General features: G+C 54.0%; 1 protein-coding gene and 1 non-coding gene across 2 annotated transcripts in view, besides 1 other annotated feature; both read right to left on the minus strand.

The window, feature by feature from the left end:
- Positions 1-22,237, minus strand: part of RADIL (Rap associating with DIL domain) — an 86,662-nt gene that overhangs the window by 27,130 nt on the left and 37,295 nt on the right. The window contains exons 3-5 of the mRNA NM_018059.5: positions 12,174-12,421; positions 10,423-11,055; positions 7,957-7,994 (exon numbers count right to left, since the gene is read on the minus strand). Coding sequence (NP_060529.4) covers positions 7,957-7,994; positions 10,423-11,055; positions 12,174-12,421 — 919 coding nt within the window. The remainder of the gene's footprint in view (positions 1-7,956; positions 7,995-10,422; positions 11,056-12,173; positions 12,422-22,237) is intronic.
- Positions 13,204-13,266, minus strand: SNORD165 (small nucleolar RNA, C/D box 165). The gene has a single exon (NR_145804.1). It is a non-coding gene; the product is annotated as a small nucleolar RNA, C/D box 165 (small nucleolar RNA).
- Positions 14,410-15,078: an enhancer, noted in NCBI's record as "H3K4me1 hESC enhancer chr7:4878225-4878893 (GRCh37/hg19 assembly coordinates)". NCBI's record gives its function as "activates a minimal SCP1, AML or CMV promoter by ChIP-STARR-seq in primed H9 embryonic stem cells {active_cell/tissue: H9 hESC(primed)}" and the evidence as "EXISTENCE:reporter gene assay evidence [ECO:0000049][PMID:30033119]".

Below are 22,237 nucleotides of genomic sequence, written 5' to 3' on the forward strand. Positions count from 1 at the left end.
GTCACCTGTGTCCCTTACTGGGGGGATTCTAAGGGGTGAGCCAGGCAGCTGCCACTCTGCTGGCCGCAGGGCATGGTGCCAGCCCAGTGCCTGACCCCAGTCCCGGGGCAGAGCCAGGCTCAAGGCTGGACGGCCGTCAGAGTGACCATCGCGTGCTCAGTCCCAGGTGTGTGGACCCGGCCTGGGGTCCTTTGAAAGGTGCCAAGCCCACAGGAAATGCCACCAGGACCTTAAGGCAGCCGGTTTGTGAGGGCATCTGGGAAGGGCTGAGGCCCTGTTTTCCTCCCTGTTCTTTCCCCAGCTGGGCAGCCGAGCAGGGCTGGGGGAGGAACCCCAGGCTGCGTCCCAGATTCTCCCCGGTACCCAAAGTGTTGCCTGCTCTCTCTGACGTCACTTCACTTTTGTCCACAAACAATGTTGACCTCTCTCGCGTGCACACACCCGGGGAGGGAAGAAACTGGACTGAGACCATCTCTCCTGTTTTTGGCGGCTAAGCAGGTCCGCTGCCTGCTCATGTGTCTGGCACAGCTCAAAGTCCTGCTCCTTTTTGCCCATTCTGGACACTGGCTTGAAGGACACGCATGTCTGCAGATGGGCAGAAGGAGCTTTTTATACAGTTAAAGAAGGATTCGCTGGGCTCTTCGGAGACTAATTCCATCTTGTTTTCAAAATTTGCTGCCCTTCTCAATTTCACCGGAACCCGGAGGGTAGACAGGCCTGTCCCAGGAAACAAGTGACCAGGCTTTGCAACTGGAGTTTCGGGATCAGACTCGGGCCAGGTTGGCACTGAACGCGCCCCCACCTGCCAACCTGGGGCCATGTGAGTGGGGGCCCAGGGAATGATGAAGATCCAGCCCATCCTACCCAGGCCTGTGTGGACGGAGGAGCAGGTCTGGTGGAAAAGGAAAACCCATGTTGTTCTAGAAGAGGGCAGAGGGGAAGGGCACTCGGGGGGGGACAGCACAGCCTGGCAGGAGGAACAGGCGTAGCTGGCTGGGGCAGTTCTAGAAGAGGGCAGAGGGGAAGGGCACTCAGCAGGGGCAGCACGGCCCGGCAGGAGGAACGGGCGCAGCTGGCTGAGGCAGGCTGGTCAAGGCGCGGGTATCTCCTGCGGGTGGAGGGAAGCACTGGAGTCCCACTCCTGGGAACCAAGGCGATGGAAACACTCGCAGGGCCCACAAGGAGCACAGAGACCAGAGCATGGGCTGCCGGCCACAGCCTATGCATGCCTGTCGCGTCCATCAGGAGAGGACCAGGGAATGGCGTGCCCCAAAAAATGGGTCAGCCACATCCACCCACCTGGAGAGGTTGTGAGTGAGAAAGCAAACCACAGACAGCTCAGCCAGCGCCATCACACCCAGGAAGAAAGGAAGAAAGAAAGAAAAAAGGAAAGAGAGAGAGAAAGAAAAAAGCCGGGTGCGGTGGCTCACGCCTGTAATCCCAGCACTTTGGGAGGGCGAGGTGGGCAGATTACAAAGGTCAGGAGTTCAAGACCAGCCTGACCAACATGGTGAAACCCCGTCTCTATTAAAAATACAAAAATTAGCTGGGCGTGGTGGCATGTTCCTGTTATCCCAGCTACTCAGGAGGCTGAGGCAAAAGAATTTCTTGAACCAGGACCCGGGAGGTGGAAGTTGCAGTGAGCCAAGATTGTGCCACTGTACTCCAGCCTGGGCTACAGAGCGAGACTCCGTCTCAGAAAAAAAAAAAAAAAAAAAAAAAAAGGGAAATGAAATGGTGAATATGTTGCAGGAAACTGTTAAAGGTGCTCTTTGGGGCCAGGTGCGGTAGCTCACATCTGCAATCCCAGCACTTTGGGAGGCTGAAGCTAGAGGATCACTTGAGTCTTGTCTCTACAGAAAAAATCAAAAAATTAGCCAGGGCATGGTGGTGCATGCCTGTAGTCCCAGCTACTCGGGAGGCTGAGGCAGGGGGATCACTTGAGCCCAGGAGGTTGAGGCTGCAGTGAGCTCTGACTGTACCACTGCACTCCAGCCTGGGCAACAGAGTGAGACCCTGTCTCAAAAAATAATAATTAATTAAATTAAATGAAGTAAAAACAAAGAATGATTTGAGACACAGTAGTGTTAAAAGCAAGCTGAAGCTGGAATAATGTCAGTAATAAAATGAAAGCCCGGAAGTGAGGATGGGGGTCGAAGCATCCTAAGATCTAGTGTTCCACAAAAGGAGGAAGATATTAATATTTTCAGAATTACTTTGAAACTAATAAAGAAGGAAAAGGGGAGTTTTTAAAAATCCAGTCAGAAGCCAGTTGTGATGGCTCACACCTGTAATCCCAGCACTTTGGGAGGCTGAGGCGGGTGGATCATGTGAGGTCAGGAGTTCGAGACCAGCCTGGCCAATATGGTGAACCCCTGTCTCTACTAAAAATACAAAAATTAGCCGGGCGTGGTGGCGCGTGCCTGTAATCCTAGCTACTCTGGAGGCTGAGGCATGAGAATCGCTTGAACCCAGGAGGCGGAGGTTGCAGTGAGCTGAGATCGAGCCACTATACTCCAGCTTGGGCAACAGAGCGAGACTCCGTCTCAAAAAAAAAAAACAAAAAAAAAAACCCAATCAGATAGGAAAGTATAAAAATCAAAGGCAAAACGCACAGAAAATAGTGCAAAACAGATGGTAAAAATGTGGCCAAAGACATCAGGAATGGCAATAAACCTAAATAATTCGACTTGCCCATTAACAAAGATAAGACAGGTGAACAAACAATGGCTTTCAAAACATAAAACAAAAGGGCACAGAAAGAGTGAACCTAAACTTTCCCTGGTTCCATGGACGGGCATGGAAAAATCTGATGAGGCGAGTAGTAAACCAGTGAAAGGGGATGTGGTACTCACTCCAGGGAAAGAAAGATTCTAGGCCAATAAGAATCATCAGGACAGGCCAGGAGCGTGGCTCATGCCTGTCATCCCAGCACTTTGGGAGGCCAAGGTGGGCAGATTGCTTGAGGTCAGGAGTTCAAGACAAGCCTGGTCAACATGGTGAAACCCCGTCTTTACTGAAAATACAAAAATTAGCCGGGCATGGTGGCAGGCGCCTGTAATCCCAGCTACTCAGGAGGCTGAGGCAGGAGAATCGCTTGATCCTGGGAGGCGGAGGCTGCGGTGAAATGCGATTGCACCAGTGCACTCCAGCGTAGACGACAGAGCGAGACTGTCTCAAAAAAAAAAAAAAGGGCCGGGTGCGGTGGCTCACGCCTGTAATCCCAGCACTTTGGGAGGCCGAGGTGGGCGGGTCACCAGAGGTCAGGCGATCAAGACCATCCTGGCTAACACAGTGAAACCCCGTCTCTACTAAAAATACAAAAAATTAGCCGGGCGTGGTTGCAGGCGCCTGTAGTCCCAGCTACTCGGGAGGCTGAGGCAGGAGAATGGCGTGAACCCAGGAGGCGGAGGTTGCAGTGAGCCGAGATCGTGCCACTGTACTCCAGCCTGGGGGACAGGGCGAGTCTCCATCGCAAAAACGAACAAAAAGAAATAAATAAAAAATGAAGTAAACCAATCTTCATTAAAGAAAGGGATTCGGCCAACACGGGTCTCCCTCCCCGAGGACTCTGGCCCGGATGTTCTTCCAGCAAACCTTCAGGGCCAGCCCTTACCTCATACAAACTGATCTGGAGAACTAAGAAACGGAGAAAGCTCCCCAATTCATGTTCTGTGAACCTTGTTACTAAAATCAGACAAGGACAGTGCAAAACAAACAAACAAACAAACAAAAAAAAACGTAGACCAGTTTTACCGATAAATTCAGATGGGAAAATCCTAATTAAAAGATCAACAGTCAACATCACTAATTCTCGGGGAGATGCCAATCAAAACCACGAGACGCCACCTCACTCCTGTTAGAATGGCCATTATCAAAACAATGACAGATCACAGGTGTTCAAAAGGACTGCACGCTGTTGGTGGGGATATAAATTAGTACAGCCTTTACAGAAAACAGTATGGAGGCTCCTCAAAATATTAAAAATATAGGCTGGGTGCAGTGGCTTACGCCTGTAATCCCAACACTTTGGGAGGCTGAGGCGGGAGGACTGCTTGAGCGCAGGAGTTCGAGACCAGCCTGGGCCAACATAGTGAAATTCCATCTCTACAAAAAACACAAAAATTAGCTGGGCATGGTGGCGTGCACTTATAGTCCCAGCTGCTTGAAGGCTGAGGAGCGGGAATCGCTTCAGCCCAGGAGGTGGAGGTTGCAGCAAGCCGAGGTCGCGCCAATGCGCTCCAGCCTGGGTGACAGAATGAGACCCTGTCTCAAAAAAAAGAAAACCTAGGAATGTAGCACTCCACATTAACAGATTAAAGGGGGAAAATATGTTGATCACAGATGCAGAAAATGATTTAGTCAAATTCAGTGATCATTCACAATTTGAAACACAGAACACAAAGATTTGAGGCAAACAGGGCAAACAAAATGTTAGTAATATTAAATCCCAAATCATCATCATCATAACATCAGTTTCAGGTGTGGGATCACGGGGGAGTGACAGATTCCGTACTGTTCTGTGTTTTGGAAGTGATTCATTATTTTACAAAGGAAAAAGGAAAAGCCCCCCAGGCATGCAAGAGGGATGGAAACGGCTGTTTTTAGGTCCTAACGATGACGGTTCTGGAACACACAGCACGAGCGGGCAGCTGCAGCAGGGAGGGCCCGGGCCTTCCCGTCAACGAGGAAGCTGGGTCCACCCAGAGCTGCGCTTCAGCTTCAAACTGCAGGCTGCCCAGCAAACAGGCACTGGGGTGGAAGGTTCCAGTCCTCCCTGCACCTCAGCACTTAGGAGGATGAGGGCTGGGTACACTCCCATCCCCTCCACACCCTGCCTCAACACTAGAACTCCAGCTGTCCTGGAACAGAGCCCCAGAGGGAGGCCACCACGCCTGTTACTGGGCCCACTCCCAACTCCCATGCAAACTTCTCCTCAACACTGAAAGCCCACAAGATGTCAGGTGCCACTGTAGGGGCCCGGGCCTGGACCACCTCCTTGCCGTGGGTCAGGCTGTCCATCACCCTTCGATGCTATCCGGGGCCTGGCTTCTATGGAGCCCCCTCCTGTCAGGCTGGGAGGCAGAGCCTGGGTCCCTCACACAGTCCCAGATCTCAGAGGCCAGGACCCACCCCCAGTGCATGGCATCGGGACCTGGCTCTGGGGAGCGGGTGTTTGCCAGTGAAAGTGGAAGGCGTTCGGAGCTCAGCTCTCCCTGGGCCGGGCAGTGGGGATGCTGGGGACTCCAGGTCAGTGGTCCCCAAGCTGTCCCATGCCTGTCCCTCCTACCTTTGAAAGAAGGATGGACCCAGGGTGGACATCAGCAGGCACATATGGCAATAATGGGCTTTATGGATGGACCATTTTTGGTACGTGAGGCACTTACAGGGTTCGGCTGTGTCTCAACCCAAATTTCATCTTAAATTGTAGCTCCCACAATTCCCACATGTTGTGGGAGGGACGCGGTGGGTGGTAACTGAGTCATGGGGGCGGGTCTTTGCCATGCTGTTCTCCCGATAGTGAATGAGTCCTCATGAGATCTGTTGGTTTTAGAAAGGGTGGTTCCCCTGAACACACTCTCTCGCCTGCCACCATGTAAGATGTGCCCTTGTTCCTCCTTTGCCTTCTGCCATGATTGTGAGGCCTCCCCAGTCACGTGGAACTGTGAGCCCATTAAACCTGTTTCCTTTATAAATTACCCAGTCTCGGATATGTCTTTATTAGCAGCGTGAGAACAGACTAATAAAGGCACGGATGGGAATCACGCAAACCTCTGTGTACCACAGCTTGACTTAAGGGGGTGCTGCCAGCCACTCAGCCTGAGCCCCCCAGACACACCCCCTCCCTCACTGCCTAGCGTGGCCACCACCTTCCACTCTGCCTTCGTCAGTGTTATCTCACGTGTGTGTCTTAAACAGGATGGCTTGGCTGTGAGTATCATACGTACGTGTGTGTGCGTGTGGGCATTTAACCATATCACAGACACTGTGCTAGGTGCTTTTTCCCAACATTGTCTTGGATTCAGCTGCACTGAGAGAGCAGTGGCTGAAAGTCATTCCCTGCCACCAGGAGGAGACATGTGGCGGCTTCAGCTCCTGTGCGGACACACTGCCTTCCACCAGCAGGTGTCTCTCTAGGGCCCACTCGAGAGTGGGAGCGTAGGCCGCAGGGGCTGCACGTCTGTATCAGATCAACCGAATGGTTTCCCAAGTGCCCCAGCAGCGTCTAGGGTAGAGATAGTGCTTTCTGCGCAAACAGCCGTTGGAGAGTGGCGGTGCACTACCTTACCTCTAACCCAGGAGCTGCGCCTTTCCCTGAAGGAGCAGGTTAGTTCTAACACAGAATCGGGAGAGCAAGGGAGGAGAAGGCTCAAAAGAGGGCCTCGTGCAGCCATAAAAAAGCACGACATCAGCCAGGCACAGTGGCTCACGCTTGTAATCCCAGCACTTTGGGAGGCTGAGGCAGGTGGATCACCTGAGGTCAGGAGTTCGAGACCAGCCTCACCAACATGGAGAATCCCCATCTCTACTAAAAATACAAAATTAGCGGCTGGGCGCGGTGGTTCACACCTGTAATCCCAGCACTTTGGGAGGCCGAGGCGGGTGGATCACAAGGTCAGGAGATGGAGACCATCCTGGCTAACACGGTGAAACCCCGTCTCTACTAAAAATACAAAAAAACAAAAATTAGCTGGCCGTGGTGGCGGGCGCCTGTAGTCCCAGCTACTCGGGAGGCTGAGACAGGAGAATGGTGTAAACCCAGGAGGCAAAGCTTGCAGTAAGCCGACACTGCGCCATAGCACTCTAGCCTGGGCGACAGAGCGAGATGCCGTTTCAAAAAAAAAAAAAATACAAAATCAGCTGGGCGTGGTGGTGCATGTCTGTAATCCCAGCTACTTAGAAGGCTGAGGCAGGAGAATCGCTCGAACCTGAGAGGTGGAGGTTGCCGTGAGCCGAGATCTCATTATTGCACTCTAGCCTGGGCAACAAGAGCGAAACCCCATCTCAAAAAAAGAAAAAAAAAAAAAAGCACGAGATCATGTCCTTTGCAGGGACATGGATGGAGCTAGAGGCTATTATGCTTAGCAAACTAACACAGGAACAGAAAACCAAATACCTTCTCACTTACAAGTGGGAGCTAAATGATGAGAACACATGGACACAGAGAGGTGAGCAACAGACACTGGGGCCTTTCAGAGGGTGGAGGCTGGGAGGAGGGAGAGGATCAGGAAATATAATGAATGGGTACAAGGCTTAATACCTGGGTGATGAAATCATCTGTACAACAAGCCCGCACGACATAAGTTTACCTATGTAACAAAGCTGCACTCGTACCCCTGAACTTAAAATAAAAGTGGAAAATAAATAAACTAATAAAATTGTGAAGATTCTCAAAAAAAAAAAAAAAAAAAAAGCCAGGCACAGTGGCTCACGCCTGTAATCCTAGTACTTTGGGAGGCCAAGGCAGGTGGATCACTTGAGTTCAGTAGTTCGAGACCAGCCTGGCCAATATCGTGAAACCCCATCTCTACTAAAAGTACAAAAAAAAAAAAATTAGCCAGGCATGGTGGTGCACACCTGCAGTCCCAGCTACTCGGGAAGCTGAGGCAAGAGAATCCCTTGAACCTGGGAGGTGTAGGTTGCTGTGAGCAGAGATTGCACCACTGCACTCCAGCCTGGCGATAGAGCAAACAAAACAAAACAAAACAAAAACAAACAAAAAAAGAAGACCTCACCCATCCAGTCTTAAGGGTGCCCTGAAGCAATTTCCCAAAACTCAGAGCTTCCCAGGGTGATGACTAAAGAAGCAAAAAAGGCCGCTGCTTGGATGGAAGGACAAAGCCCAGAGCTGACCCCAAGGCGTGGGGAGACCCCTCGGGACTTGGCTCCCCCGGGAAGTGTGAGCCCCCAGGACCTGCTGCCCAGAGGCGGGCACAATAACCGGGTCATACTCACAGTTGCGCCTGCTTCTCTGCTAGTTCTTTGGTTTTCTCCTACAATTACAAAGCGGGAGAAAAAGCAAGTGAGCAAAACAGGCTAACACAGGGACGCGTTCAAATACACGATACCATCGACAGGAAAACAAGCCATGCTGCCCCAGGCATCCTGTGTGACGCTGACTATTTATTCAAGCTGTGCTGGAAAGGACATTTTCCATGTGACTTCAACATCTTCCCATTCCATTACCGACTATGACCTACAAGTTTGCTACAATAGAGTATCTCACAACTCTCTAGCTTACATAACAACCGGCTATTTAAAAAATAGTAGAGGCTGGGCAAGGTGGCTCACACCTGGAATCCCAGCACTTTGGGAGGCTGAGGCAGGCAGATCACTTAAGGTCAGGAATTCGAGACCAGCCTGGACAACATGGTGAAACCCCATCTCTACTAAAAATACAAAAATTAGCCGGGTGTGGTGGCGCATGCCTATAATCCCAGCTATTTGGGAGGCTGAGGCAGGAGAATCCCTTGAACCTGGGAGGCAGAGGTTGCAGTGAGACGAGATCACGCCACCGCACTACAGCCTGGGTGACAGAGCGAGACTCCGTCTCAGCAAAAAAAAAAAAAAAAAAAAAAGAATTATTCTTGCCTTAGTAGTAAGTTATTATCCGGCTGAATGTAACCGTGATGGCTGAGTGCGCGTAGACTAAGCGTGTATATTTGGTAAGGAATGAGGACGGGGCAGCGGCGACACAGTTGCACATTCTCAGGAAACAAACGCGCAAATGATATTCGCATGGGATCTGGACAGCACCCAGCGGAGGCTTCGGATTCCCACAGTGGGTGCAGGGGGAAGAGGTGGACTCAGGCTCGGTCTCATGTCTATCAGCTCAATCTCTGGACCAGGCAATTCACCTCTGGGAGCCTCTGTTTCAGAGCCTGTAGCATAGGGGCAGGGTGAGCCCTGGTGTGCTGCAGGGAGTGGGCCAGCCACACAGCGAGCCCCAGGTGGCTGGGACACAGGCTGGGACCCGGGTCCCTCAGCAAGTGACTTACGGCCCCCTGGCTTCAGTTTCCCTGGCTGTGACATGGGGTGTGGCATCTACATCGTCAGGGTGGTTGTGATAAAGAAATTAAACAGCGTTTGGTTTGCAAGTAAGTGCCTGGCGCAGAGGAGACTCGGGAAATGACAATGATCGTGCGAAAACCCATGACTTCTGGCCAGCAGGTAACTCTCGGTCACAGTGGCCACGATGTGGACACACACTACAGGGACATCACCTGGCCCTGTGTCCATGACTGCACGGAGGGGACACGGGCACGCTGCAGTGGCACTCCCATCAAATCCCAAGCCGGGAACCCGAGGGGAAGAGGCACGGACACCCAGATTACAACACCCACGGTGCACAGAGACGGCTCCCACTGACATCTGGACAGGGAAGCCTGAGCTGGCTTTTACTTTTTAAAAGTCTCAGACATTTAAAATGTGGATTTCGATATGAGAAAGTGATAAGGTTTCTACACAGTCAAGTGGTTCCCCCTTCCCCTGTCTGCCGGGGATAAGCGGGGCCCAGACTAGCGAGGATCTGAGGGTCTCTGAACGAACTTGAACAACTACGAGTTGTCCTTCGGGTCCCTGGGAGCCAAGTCACTGTGGGGTGGGGCCCAGCGGGGGGCCATGACTGTGTGATGCCTGTTCCAGCACTCATGGGCCCAGGGCGGTCCTGCTCACTGGCGGCCACACTGGATTCCTGGGGACATTGGCAATGCCTGCAGCCATGGGTGTATTGCGTGTGTGTGTGTGGCGGGGCGGCAGAGGGTGACCGGCATCTAGGGGTGGAGGCCGGGGATGCTGCTGAATCCTCTGCAATGCACAGGCCAGCCTCACAGCAAGGAGCTCTCCTGCCACAGTGTCCACAGGGCCGGGGATGAGAGAGGCTGGCCTGGAGGAAAGTTCGTCAACGCACAAAAGGTGACGGGCCCTGCACCTCCAAACTCGGATCAGGGATGGCTCCAGCGGGTATGTGCTCAACCGGCCCCTGGCAGCAAGCACAGGGCGCCGGCACACACAGGGGCTTCTGGGGCTCTTGGGCAGGGGCCTGTGAGAGCTATCAATGTCACCTCGGCCTCGTGGTGCCCAGGCTCAGGGGCAGCTCACTCCTGGCACGTGACAGTGCTGGGCCCAGCTGGACCCCAGGGAGGGTACAAGCCCAGAGCTCAGGAGGTGACCTAGGACCCCACGCAAACCCCACCCTCAGGGGCAAAGGGCTGCAGCTGACACCTTGGGTTCTGGGGCTGCTTCTGGTGGCCTGTGGGGCTGGGGGGCAGCGACAGGCAGGGAAAGGCCGCCCTGCGCTCAGCAGCACAGCACCGTGGGGGTCAGATAGAGGCGCTCCCGCCTCCCAGCCGGGGCCAGCTCCGGGCCCCCTCTTCCCCCAGACCGGCACAGGACCCAGACCGCCCACCCCAGCACACTGACCCAGACAGTCTCGCGGATCAGCCTGGCTATCTTGAGCAGGAGCTGCCCGAATGTGCCCGGCTGGAAGTGGGTGGCCGAGTGCTGGATGCAGAGGCACAGGAGGAAGGCGGGGGTCAGCTTGTGGTCGTCGCCCCCCGGCTCGATCAACGTCATGATCCTCTGCAGCAGCGTGTCCTCCAGGTGGGGCTCAAACTCCAGGAGCAGCTGCTGGCGCCGGGGCAGGGCGGCCTGAGTAGGGGAGGCGGCTCCCCGGGCCCCGAGCGCGGCCCCGCACAGCCGGCAGCTCTGCGGCACAGCCCGGAGGCGCGCCAAGGCCCGGGCGGGCAGGGGCTGGGCCTGCGCGGGGTCCTTGAATAGCAGCAGGTAGTAGAGCCCCAGGGAGAGCAGGTCCCCGTGGTGCAGCACCACGGTCCTGTGCCCCACCTCGGAGAAGTTGACGGAGATGTGCGCCCCGGGGATGGGCTCCAGGACCAGCCTCCCCGCGGCCTGGCCGCTGTCCGGGAGCGGTTGCCGGCGGATGGTGCAGTGTAGAGGCAGGATGTCGGGGGCTGAGAGGCTGATGCTGGGCTTGCTGGAGGGGGTCCGCTGGCCCACCGTGTGCCGGTCCCGGTTGAGCACATACACCAGGCTGTCCTGAAACAGAGACTCCGCTCAGGGCAGGCGTAACGCGAGCAGCACACGGGAAAAGCGTCCCGTGTCTAGTCACTGGTTGCTGAAGCAGCGTGGCTGGGATGCTGTCGCCACGGGCTCTCCATGTCCCTGGCCACCCCCACACCAGAACCCCGACGGCTCTCAGGAACCCGCCCCTCGATGTCCGGGCCCATCCCAGAGGAGGTCGGTTTCCCGGAGGAGCACACGAGAGACCCAGGAGACACCCAGCTTTGAGACAGCGACAGGCCAGGTCAGGGCTGGCCGGGAAACAGGCACTGGTTCTACAGACCGGGCCAAGGACTACATAACTTCCCCCAAGTCATCCCCAAAACTGTGTGGGAGCACTGCCGCCTGTGTGGGAGCACCACCCCCAGTGTGGGAGCACTGCCGCCTGTGTGAGAGCACTGCCCCGAGGGAAGATGCCACCTAAAACCTGGGCACAGGAGCCCTATGGCTGTAAAGTGCTCATGGAAATGAGCAGCAAAGGAGCTGGCTGCACAGGAGGGCGGGGGTAGGGTGAGCAGGGGGCGGGGAAAACAGTTGTCTGGCAGGGCAAGTGTCCGGCAAGGTGAGGCGAGGTGGCCCTGCGCCTGGCATTTGCTCGGGGCGACAGCCTGCCTGCTCTGATGGAAGTGGTGAGAAACGGCTCTGGGCAGATAGGGGTGGCATGGGCCTTTGCTCGGTGCCCCTTCAGAGAATGTGGCCACCAATTGGTGACTCAGCAGCCCCCTCGCCAGAAGCAGGAAGCAGACTGGCCCTGGCCAACTGCCCATGCCCTTCCCCAGAGCCAGGCGGGAGACCAAGGCTGGGAAGGCGTGAGGAGTTCTCCCTGAAGGCGCCTGGTGCTGAGGGCACCCACTCTGGGATTGGGGAAGTGAGGAGCCCCCACTGCCGCCCACCGTGGCCTGGACAGGGAAAATGTGGATGACTCCACATGTGCCCCCGCCATCCCACTCCACAGCCTCGGCACAGCCAGAGGGGCTGCAGCCACAGAGCTCGCGGCCGACTGGGCTAAAGGCAGGCGGAGGCCTTGACTTCTGAGTCCCGCCTGCTGTCCCTGCAGTGGCACCGGGCAGTGGGTGTCAGGAGGGGAGGCTCACGTGCTGCTGGCTGTAGCCCTGCAGAAGGAGCAGATGCGGGGACTGGTACAGCGAGTACCGCATGGCGTCGGGGCCGGGCTCCTCGGGGCCCTGGGCGGCAGCGGGCAGGGCGTTCACTGGGCTCAGGCTGGTCTCACTGACTGTGCGGCGCAACCGGGGTGGAGGAGAGCTCCGGGCATCCCCCAGGGCCGGGGTCGGGGTTCCCTTCGCGCGACTCCGCTGCAGCCTCCGGGCCTGGGCGTTTATCCCTGGAACAGAAGCAACACAAGGTGAACAGTTAGAAGTCTCATAGCACCAGGACTGGGCGCGGTGGCTCACCCCTGTAATCCCAGCACTTTGGGAGGCCGAGGTGGGGGGATCGCCTGAGGTCAGGAGCTCGAGACCAGCCTGGCCAACACAGTGAAACCCCATTTCTACTAAAAATACAAAAATGAGTTGGGCGTGGTGGTGCGCATCTGTAATCCCAGCTACTCAGGAGGCTGAGGCACGAGAATGGCTTAAACCCAGGAGGCGGAGGTGGCAGTGAGCTGAGATTGCACCACTGCACTCCAGCCTGGGTGACAAGAGCGAAACTCCATCCCCCGCCAAAAAAAACAGGTAAGTCTAATAGCGCCCATGTCCCGGGTCCTTCTGAGTTCAAATCCCACTAAGCCACGTCTCCTAATGCCGTTACTGTTCTGTCAAAACAGGTCTGGTGGAGACTCAAGGACTCTGCCCTCTAGCCACGCCCCTCGAAAAACCAGACAGTGCCTTGGCACCACCGTGGCACCCACAGAACAGTCTCAGAGCAGGCAGCCTGCCTGTCAAATCCTCAGGCTGAGGGGACCACGCCTCCCCTGCAGCAGCCCAGGGTCACACCGCGGCCTGCCCGACCAGCCAGCACCACGGCCCACAGGCCTCAAACCACAGACGTTTTCCCACGGCAGCCTGGGCCTCTGCAGGGTCACCACGCCGCCTCCAGAGCCCTGCCCCATCCATCTGTGCACCAGGCGAAACTCCCCTGGGGGTGGTGCTCTGACGAGACGAGACGGACTGGTCAGCATCCTGCCCCTACTTTACAAGGAGGAGGTGTCACTGTGCCACATCACCCCAGCCCATGGGGCTGCCGATGGCCTGCTCCTGCAACAGCATCGCTGCCTCCTTCCCAAGGCTGTCTCTGATACCCCCAAGCCAAAGCAGGCACACACACAAACACACGTGTGCATACACATGCCCACAAATACACATGCACCCACACAAAAATGCACACACACATGCACACACATGCACCCAAAAACACACATGCACACACATACACACACGCCAACACACATGCACCCACACACATTAACACATACATGCACACAAACATGCGCACAGTTCAGAGATAACACACACCCTTAGAAGACTTAATATCTCATAAATACAGACACGCTCTCTAAATGCATGCTCTGGGAAAGCCAGCCGGCTGCGATAGATGAAAACCGCTCACCAGTCCCCAGCTGACCCGGCGCTGTCTTTTCTGAGCCCTCTGCTGAGTTCCCTGTACGCAGCCTTTCAGGTTAAGATCCATCCCCATCTGTGGCGGCCTTTCCTCCAACCATTCCCAATAAAACCAAACAAAAGCCGGATGGAGGGAGGCGTCAGCTGGCTGAGGAAGACCCTTACCAGCGCCAGCAGCCCCGCCGTCCTTCCCAAGGCAGCCGGCAGCCTGTGCATCTGCAGCCCGCAGGGGGCCAGGGCGTGAGGGAGGCCGCCCAGCCGCAGTGCGAGGCTGCTGGGCTGGGCTGCTCACCACCCGTGCTCCTGCCGCCTGCAGAACCCGGCCCAGCCTGGCAGGCGGCAGGTGCCCAGCAGGTGGGGCCCAGTTCCCCTACCTCATCCCACCCGCCACTCCCACAAGCGTTACCAGCCCCACAGCTCAGCCTCATTGCACAACTATGGGGCCAGATCCGAAAGAAGAACAAAAACAGCTCCAAATGATGCTCCGGCCCTCAACTTTCTCCCAAATCCAGGGCCAGGTTGTAGGAGGTGACCTCAGAGTGACCTGCTGGAAGTCCCAGGGCCATGGGGCAGGAAGGGTTGCTTCTCCTCCTAGAGTCCCAGGGGCTCCCAGAGGACCTGGCCACAAATGCGGCACGGGATGTCCCAGGCCTGTGTCCCCTGGGGCTGCAGCCCCAGGCAAGTGGCTCGCAGCTGAGTGTACCCTGCTCCTCCAGGCAAGGCTCCACAGCCTCCTGAGGCCCAGGGCTGGGCTCTCTGCAGGTCGGAACCAATGCTGACACGCAGGGGCCACTCCCAGGGTCTCCTTCCTGGTGCTGGGTAGGCCTGCATGTGTGCAGAAGGGCCAGGCTGCCAGCCTCCAACGAGGGGCCGGAGGTGAGGCCTCTCCTCTGGGCGGTGGGGCTGTCCCTGCACCCAAGGCCACAAGCATGACAGAGCCTCCCTCTGAGTGCAGGTGTGGGGGAGGTGAAGCAGCAGCAGCCACTGCCAATACTGGCACAGCCGTGGGCATGGCCAGTGTGGACAGCAACTGACCACGCCACTCTGCTCCTCAGTCCCCTGCTGTGGAACAGCCAGCAGGACCCGTGCACTCGTGCACACATGCATGCACACGTGCACACGTGCACACGTACATTCAGCACCGCTTGAGTTAGCAAAGCCCAGAACCCACCCAATCACCCCCCACAGGGAGCCGCCATGCACGGGAGGAGAGCTCTGCAGAGAGAAGACCGTAGCCAGCTGTGTACGTGACCACAGGGTGAAAGAGCAAGCTACAGGTAACACGTGACGTGATGTAACACATGATATGACGCGTTGGCTCAGTTTTTTTTAAAAGCACCTAAAACACCGCTGTATATAGCTTACGGTTTCTATATATGTGCATGCAAAGCTATTTTTTACCCCAAAGTCATTCAGGAGTAGGTTGTTTAATTTCCATGTAATTGTATGGTTTTGAGCAATCTTCTTAGTACTGATTTCTAATTTTATTGGGCTGGGGTCGGAGAGTGTGCTTGGTATAATTTCCGTTTTTTTTAATTCGCTGAGAATTCAAACAAATGTGTTTTATGGCCAAGCGTGTGGTCAGTGTAGAGCTATTTTATAAAAGAGCAATGCACACAGTGCGTTTACCACATGGCGGCTGTCCTCAACAGGTGGCAGGGGAAGCCTAGGCATGGTGGAAAAAATGACTTCAATTTCATAGGATTTAGTATAGTGCCAGTATGTAACAGAATATATGTTATATATAATTTATGATAAATATATTATCATAACTTTATATCATGTTTGACTTATTTCATTTTTTTAAACTCTAAACAAATATGATAAAAATCTTTACCTGTCAAATCTGGGAGGGGAACCCAGGTGTCAGATAAATGTAACTGATGATACTTTATTTTTAAAAGCTTTCCTGTTGGTTTGTTTTGGGACAGAGTCTCACTCTGTCGCCCAGGCTAGAGTAGCAGTAGCAAAATCTTGGCTCACTAGAACCTCTGCCTCCTGGGTTCGAGTGATTTTCCTGCCTCAGCCTCCCAAGTAACTGAGATTACAGGCACGTGCCACCATGCTGGGCTAATTTTTTTATCTTTAGATTAGAGACAGGGTTTCACCGTCTTGGACAGGCTGGTCTCGAACTCCTGACCTCAAGTGATCCGCCCACCTCGGCCTCCCAAAGTGTTGGAATTACAGGCGTGAGCCACCGCGCCCAGCATAAACACTTTTGTTAAAATAAAAATCACAGAAGTTTGAAAGGCCTCTTGCTCACGTGTGGCTTTGTGACTTGGCCCTGTCCCAAGATGAGGCTGCGGCAGATGGGACCCAGCACTCTGCTCCCAGGGGGTCGGCTGTCAGGCTTGTTGGGGGCCGACATGGCCTCCCAAGTTCCCATAGAGAGAGCTGCAATCGTGCCCTGTTTGTGCCTGACCTGATACAGCTTCGTCACCTGAGTCACCTGAGCGTCTCAGCTCTGTGCAGACCCAGGGCGGATCTGCCTCAACTGGGACAGAAAGTGCCCCCACTTGGCCTTTGGGTGGAGGGAGACAGGAGCCGAGGCACGTGGAGAGCATCCCTCGTGATGCTGACCCCAGCCACCTTCAGAAGCATCGCATGGCGCCATCGCTAGACACACAGCGTGGAGTTGTCAAGGCCCTCAGACCCGGCAGCACACTGCTCAGGAAGGGTAGGCCAGGGCTTTGCAATTTTAGGGACTGCCTGATTTGGGGGTCTTATATAGGTGTGCTCTTTGCCAAGAACAGGGTCACCCCAGGGGCCCTTATGCTACCAATGGGAGATTCCGCCAACATGAAATAAGTTCAGTGAGAAATACATCATCAAGAAACCACTATTTCTGGCCGGGCGCGGTGGCTCACGCCTGTAATCCCAGCACTTTGGGAGGCCGAGGCAGGTGGATCACGAGGTCAAGAAATCAAGACCATCCTGGCCAACATGGTGAAACCCCGTCTGTACTAAAAATACAAAACTTAGCTGGGCGTGGAGGTGGGCGCCTGTAGTCCCGGCTACTCGAGAGGCTGAGGCAGGAGAATGGCTTGAACCCAGGAGGTGGAGGTTGCAGTGACCTGAGATCGCACCACTGCACTCCAGCCTGGGTGACAGAGCGAGACTCCGTCTCAAAACAAAACAAAACAACAACAACGAAAAGAAACCACTATTTCAAAACAAATGAATTCTAATAAAGCAAAATGGCAGGACGGCCGCAGCCTTTCATAACAGTAATTTTAGATGGGAAGTTATTCATCTTAAATAAAGCGCCAGACCCTGCTGTGGGTGAAGGAGACACCTCCAGGCTGCAAGCCAGAATACGCCCATGTCTTCTGTTGCCTACCCCATGTGAGGGACAAGACAGGCCGAGGTCAGCTGTGGCCCCAACGCCCTCGTCTTCTTCAAGGACCCCTGGGAATGTTCCTGCCCTGGCGTGACTGAGTTCACTGGGATCAGAGGTGCTGCGTAGGTTTAAGGGATGCCCAGAAATCTGTATTGGTAAATGCCATCTGGAAGTTTCTAGAACAGCAGCCAGGGAGGGGAGCCACTGCCAGGGCACTCCCCCTCCCCCAAAGCCCTGTCCACAGCGGTTCCTTACAGGGAGCAAAGTGACACCCACAAGCGCTGGGAGAGCTTGGTGGGAGCATCCAGTTTGATCTAGTGTTGATTTCAGTCCTTCTCAGGATAAGTGTCTGTCAGTTCCTGCAGAGGAAGCCGGCGGGCGCGGGTCTCCCCTACTGCCCCGTGTTGATCCACTCTAGTGGAGAGGCAGAAAAGCAACCCAGCCCAGGAATAAGGCGGGGTCTGGGTAACTGGGACCTTGGTGGGCAGCCCTGCTTCACCCCAGCAACCCTCAGGAAACTGCCTGGCTCCAAACATCTGCTAATACATGGGGTCCCAGCCTCAGAAGCAAAATGTACACTTTCTGACATTTTAAGAAGAGAACACAAGGCCAGGCCCAGTGGCTCACGCCTGTAATCCCAGCACTTTGGGAGGCCGAGGCGGGAGGATGGCTTGGGTTCAAGCCGAGGCTGATCAACATCGCCAAGTCTCTACAAAAAATACAAAAATTAGCTGGGTGTGGTGGTGTGTGCCTGCAGTCCCAGCTACTTGGGAGGCTGAAGGGGAGAATCACCAGAGCCCAGGAGGTCGAGGCTGCAGTGAGCTACGATCACGCCACCGCACTCCAGCCTGGGCAACAGAGCAAGACCCTGTCTCCAAAAAAAAAAAAAGATGCAACAAGGCCAGAGGCTGGAATAGCAGCGTAGGCCTCGTAAGGGACCATGGTTTGCAGACAGGCCTGCCTGGTCATGAAATGTCTGCCTTTGACAATGGGATAGAAGGAGTAGAAAGTGCAGGGCGCCGGGGCAATGGGGAAGATGGGGATGGGACGGTCGTTGTTGACATCTTCTTCTACTCTCACAGCAGAGGCCGTAAGGAAAGGAGGGCTGAGCTCCATGTCCCTGAAGCTCTGTTAGCGGCCTTCCTCCCCAGCCTGGGCCAAGCCGAGCTGCTGAGCACATCCTCATCTCCAAGGTGAGAAACTCACTCCTGGAGGAAGCGGCGAGGGAGACAGCATGCAGCCACAGCCACACGGCTTTGTCTAGGCCACCCCCCTCCCCTCCTCGAGAAGGCAGTGCCTAGTGACCCGCTGCTGGCAGAGAGGGCAGGGCTCTGCGTGCCGGGGGTGCACAGGGAAACTGGACAAGCAGCTGGTGACCGTCACCAGCTCCCACGGACTCTGAACAGCCCTGGAAAGAAAAACACAGGCTCTTCCTGAACGTTGCTCAATTCCTCTATAAACTCAGCCGGCAGCTTTCGCCTCCTGATCCTGTTTTCTCTTCCCTCCCTGGCTCTTGATGGTTTGGAATAATGATATATACAACTTGGAACCGTTTCTGTCACCCATCCCCACTCGCAGGCCTCAGAGATGAAGTGACTAGGAGTGGAGACGGAGGGGATAATGAAACGTTCCTGGGCTGGGGAACTTTACCACTACTGGGGAACCGGAGACCATTGTACTTATTTGCTATGTTGCCCAGGCTGGAGTGCAGTGTGGATTCACAGGCGTGGTCACCATAATACCCTGCAGCCTCGAAATTCTGGCCTCAGGGCCTCAGAATAGCTGGGACTATAGGTGCGCACCCCCATGCCCGGCAAGAGACAATTTTTTTTTTTTTTTTTTTTTGAGAAGGAGTCTTGCTCTGTCACTCAGGCTGGAGTGCAGTGGTGCCATTTCAGCTCACTGCAACCTCTGCCTCCCGGGTTCAAGTGATTCTTGTGCCTCAGTCTCCCGAGTAGCTAGGATTACAGAAGCCCACTACCCCCGACCCCCGCCAGCTAATTTTTTGTATTTTTAGTAGAGATGGGGTTTCGCCATGTTGGCCAGGATGGTCTCGATCTCCTGACCTCGTGATCCGCCTGCCTCGGCCTGCCAAAGTGCTGGGATTATAGGTGTGAGCCACCGCGCCCGGCCAAGAGATGATTTTAAAGTGGCCCCTAGTAACAACCGGGGACGCGCTGCTCAATAAACTCTGCAGTTACTGCTGCAAAACACAGAGGTCAGATGGGCCTGAAACGAGTCTTCTGTTAGCTGAGGCACCCTTTTCTAAGCTAGCAAAGGACACAGAGCCGTAGGACCATCAAGCAGTCCTTGAAAGAAAATCATTTCAAATGTACAAAAAAGAACTTCTCAGGCATCATTTGGTAAGCATTTCTCTATGCCATGGCCAGCCTGACTCTGGGCATTTTGCATCTAATTCCATTTTATTCTCATTATAGAAACCCTACAAAGGCTGGGTGCGGTGGCTCATGCCTGTAATCCCAGCCCTTTGGGAGGCTGAGGCAGGTGGATCACCTGAGGTCAGGAGTTCAAGAGCAGCCTGGACAACATGGGGAAACCCCGTCTCTACCAAAAATACAAAAATTAGCCAGGCATGGTGGTGGGTACCTGTAATCCCAGCTACTCGGGAGGCTGAGACAAGAGAATTGCTTGAACCCATAAGGCGGAGGTTGCAGTGAGCCGAAATCACGCCACTGCACTCCAGCCTGGGTGACAGAGCGAGACTCCATTTCAAAAAAAAAAAAAAAAAAAAAGCCTTACGAAGGAACTGTGGCTAAACAGGAACATATTAGCCTCATTTTGGGAACCAATTCTGCCATGAGGGAAACAATTCTAGGGAGAATATATACGTAACTTCCTCTTGCCATCAGGAACAAGACAAGGATGCCTGCTGTAACCACTTCTCTTCAAATTTGTACTAGGTCCTAGCCAGTACAACAGGCAGGGAAAAATAGGGGAAAGATACAGGATTGAAAACAAAGAAGTTGCCAGGCGCAGTGGCCAACACCTGTAATCCCAGCACTTTGGAGGCCGAGGCAGGCAGATCACGAAGTCAAGAGATCGAGACCATCCTGGCCAACATGGTAAAACCCTGTCTCTACTAAAAATACAAAAAATTAGCTGAGTGTGGTGGCACGCGCCTGTAGTCCCAGCTACTCGGGAGGCTGAGGCAGGAGAATTGCTTGAACCCGAGAGGCAGAGGTTGCAGTGAGCTGAGATCGCACCACTGCACTCCAGCCTGGCAACAGAGTGAGACTCCATCTAAAAAAAACAAGAAAAGAAAAGAAAGAAGTTCAATTATCATTATTTTGCAGACAATGTGATTGTGTATGTAGGAAATGCAAAAGAATCTATGGAAAAATTATTATAATTAACAAGTGAATTTAGCAAGGTGACTAGACATGGTGAATAAGCAAAATTCAGGCTGTTTTGTTTTGTTTTTGAGAGAGGGTCTTGCTCTGTCACCCAGGCTGGAGTGCAATGGCACGATCACAGCTCACTGCAGCCTCCACCTAACTGGGCTCAAGCAATCCTTCTGCCTCAGCCTCCCAAGTAGCTGGGACTACATGTGCACACCACCACGCCCAGCTAATTTTGTATTTTTTATAGAGACAGGGTCTCACTATTCTGCCCAGGCTGGCCGCAAACTCCTGTGCTCAGGCAATCCTCCCGCCTCAGTCTCCCAAAGTGCTGGGATTACAGGTATGAGCCACTGCACCTGGCCAGTAATATATTTAAAGATCAGAAGCAAATCATGTTGGATTCATGACCCAGGAGTCAACCACATGTGGCCCCTGAGTGCTAGGACTGAGGAAAGGGACCGAATTAAGAAACGAGGGGTGTTAGAATTTGACCTACGTAGGAAAAAAAAAAGGAAGAAAGAAGCGAGAGGTGTCCTGTATATGAAAATTATATTTACAGAATACTTTAGAAACCTAACCTAAAGAAAGCTAATGTAGGCTGGGCATGGTGGTTCATGCCTGTAATCCCAGCACTTTGGGAGGCTGAGGCGGGAGGATCACTTGAAGCCAGGAGTTTGGGAGCAGACTAGGCAACACAGCAAGACCCCAAATCCACAAAAATAAAAAGATGAACCAGATGTGGTGGGACACGTCTTAGTCCCAGCTACTCAGGAGGTGGAAGCAGGAGTACCACTTGAACCCAGGAGATGGAGGCTGCAGTGAGCTATGATTGTGCCACTGGGCTCCAGCCTGGGTGACAGAGCAAGACCTCATCTCTAATAAATGAAGTCAGAAAATGAAGGCATATTCTGAGAAAACACCAGAATCCCATCTCTAATCGATCAATAAATGAAGTAAATGAATGCATACACTAAGAAAACACCAGAATGAAAAGCACCAAAGCGTTGAAAATGATTCTCTCCGGGAGGTGACCTGACAGGTGATTTCTCCTCCTTTCTCTATACTTTCACTTACTTTCCAAATTTTCGGCAAAATGAGAGGTTCCATTTTTTTAGACGGGGAAGAAATTATTTTTTTACATACTCTAGGGTATTATTTCCATGATGAAACTTGGACCGCCTCACACTAATTAGAGTCTTACTCAGGGAACAACAATCGCGCTCTCTGAAAAGCAACTGAAAACCTAATTAAGATAATGGGTAACTGAGGAGATAAAATGCTTAAGCCATTTGTTAGGCAGACACAGATGGAGACAGAGCTCTCCGGGGCTGTGCCGAGGAGAGAGCAGCGTGGCGTAACCGAGAACTTCCTCCAGCCGAAACCAGGGGCTGTAGCCAGTTACCCCGGGAAGCTGTGAGCCCTTCGTTAGAGAGGGTCACGGTGACCAGCGAAGCACAGTCCTGCTCACCGCGTCCAGCATGGCGCTGGGCACGCCACCAACAGCGACAGCCCTATGGAGGGCGCTGTTTCATCTCAGGCACCACTGCTTATTTGTCTCTTTTGTTCCAGAGCTACAATCTTCTTTTTTTTTTTTTTTTTTTTTTAAAGAGACGGAGTCTCGCTCTGTCACCAGGCTGGAGTGCAGTGGTGCGATCTTGGCTCACTGCAACCTCCGACTCACTGCAACCTCCGACTCCCTGGTTCAAGCGATTCTCCTGCCTCAGCCTCCTGAGTAGCTGGAATTACGGGTGCCTGCCTCCATGCCCAGCTAATTTTTATATTTTTAGGAGAGACGGGGTTTCACCATGTTGTCCAGTGTGGTCTCGATCTCCTGACCTCGTGAGCCACCCGCCTCAGCCTCCCAAAGTGCTGGGATTACA

The sequence above is a fragment of the Homo sapiens genome, chromosome 7 (genome assembly GCF_000001405.40).
Source record: "Homo sapiens chromosome 7, GRCh38.p14 Primary Assembly".
NCBI classification, from domain to species: domain Eukaryota; kingdom Metazoa; phylum Chordata; class Mammalia; order Primates; family Hominidae; genus Homo; species Homo sapiens.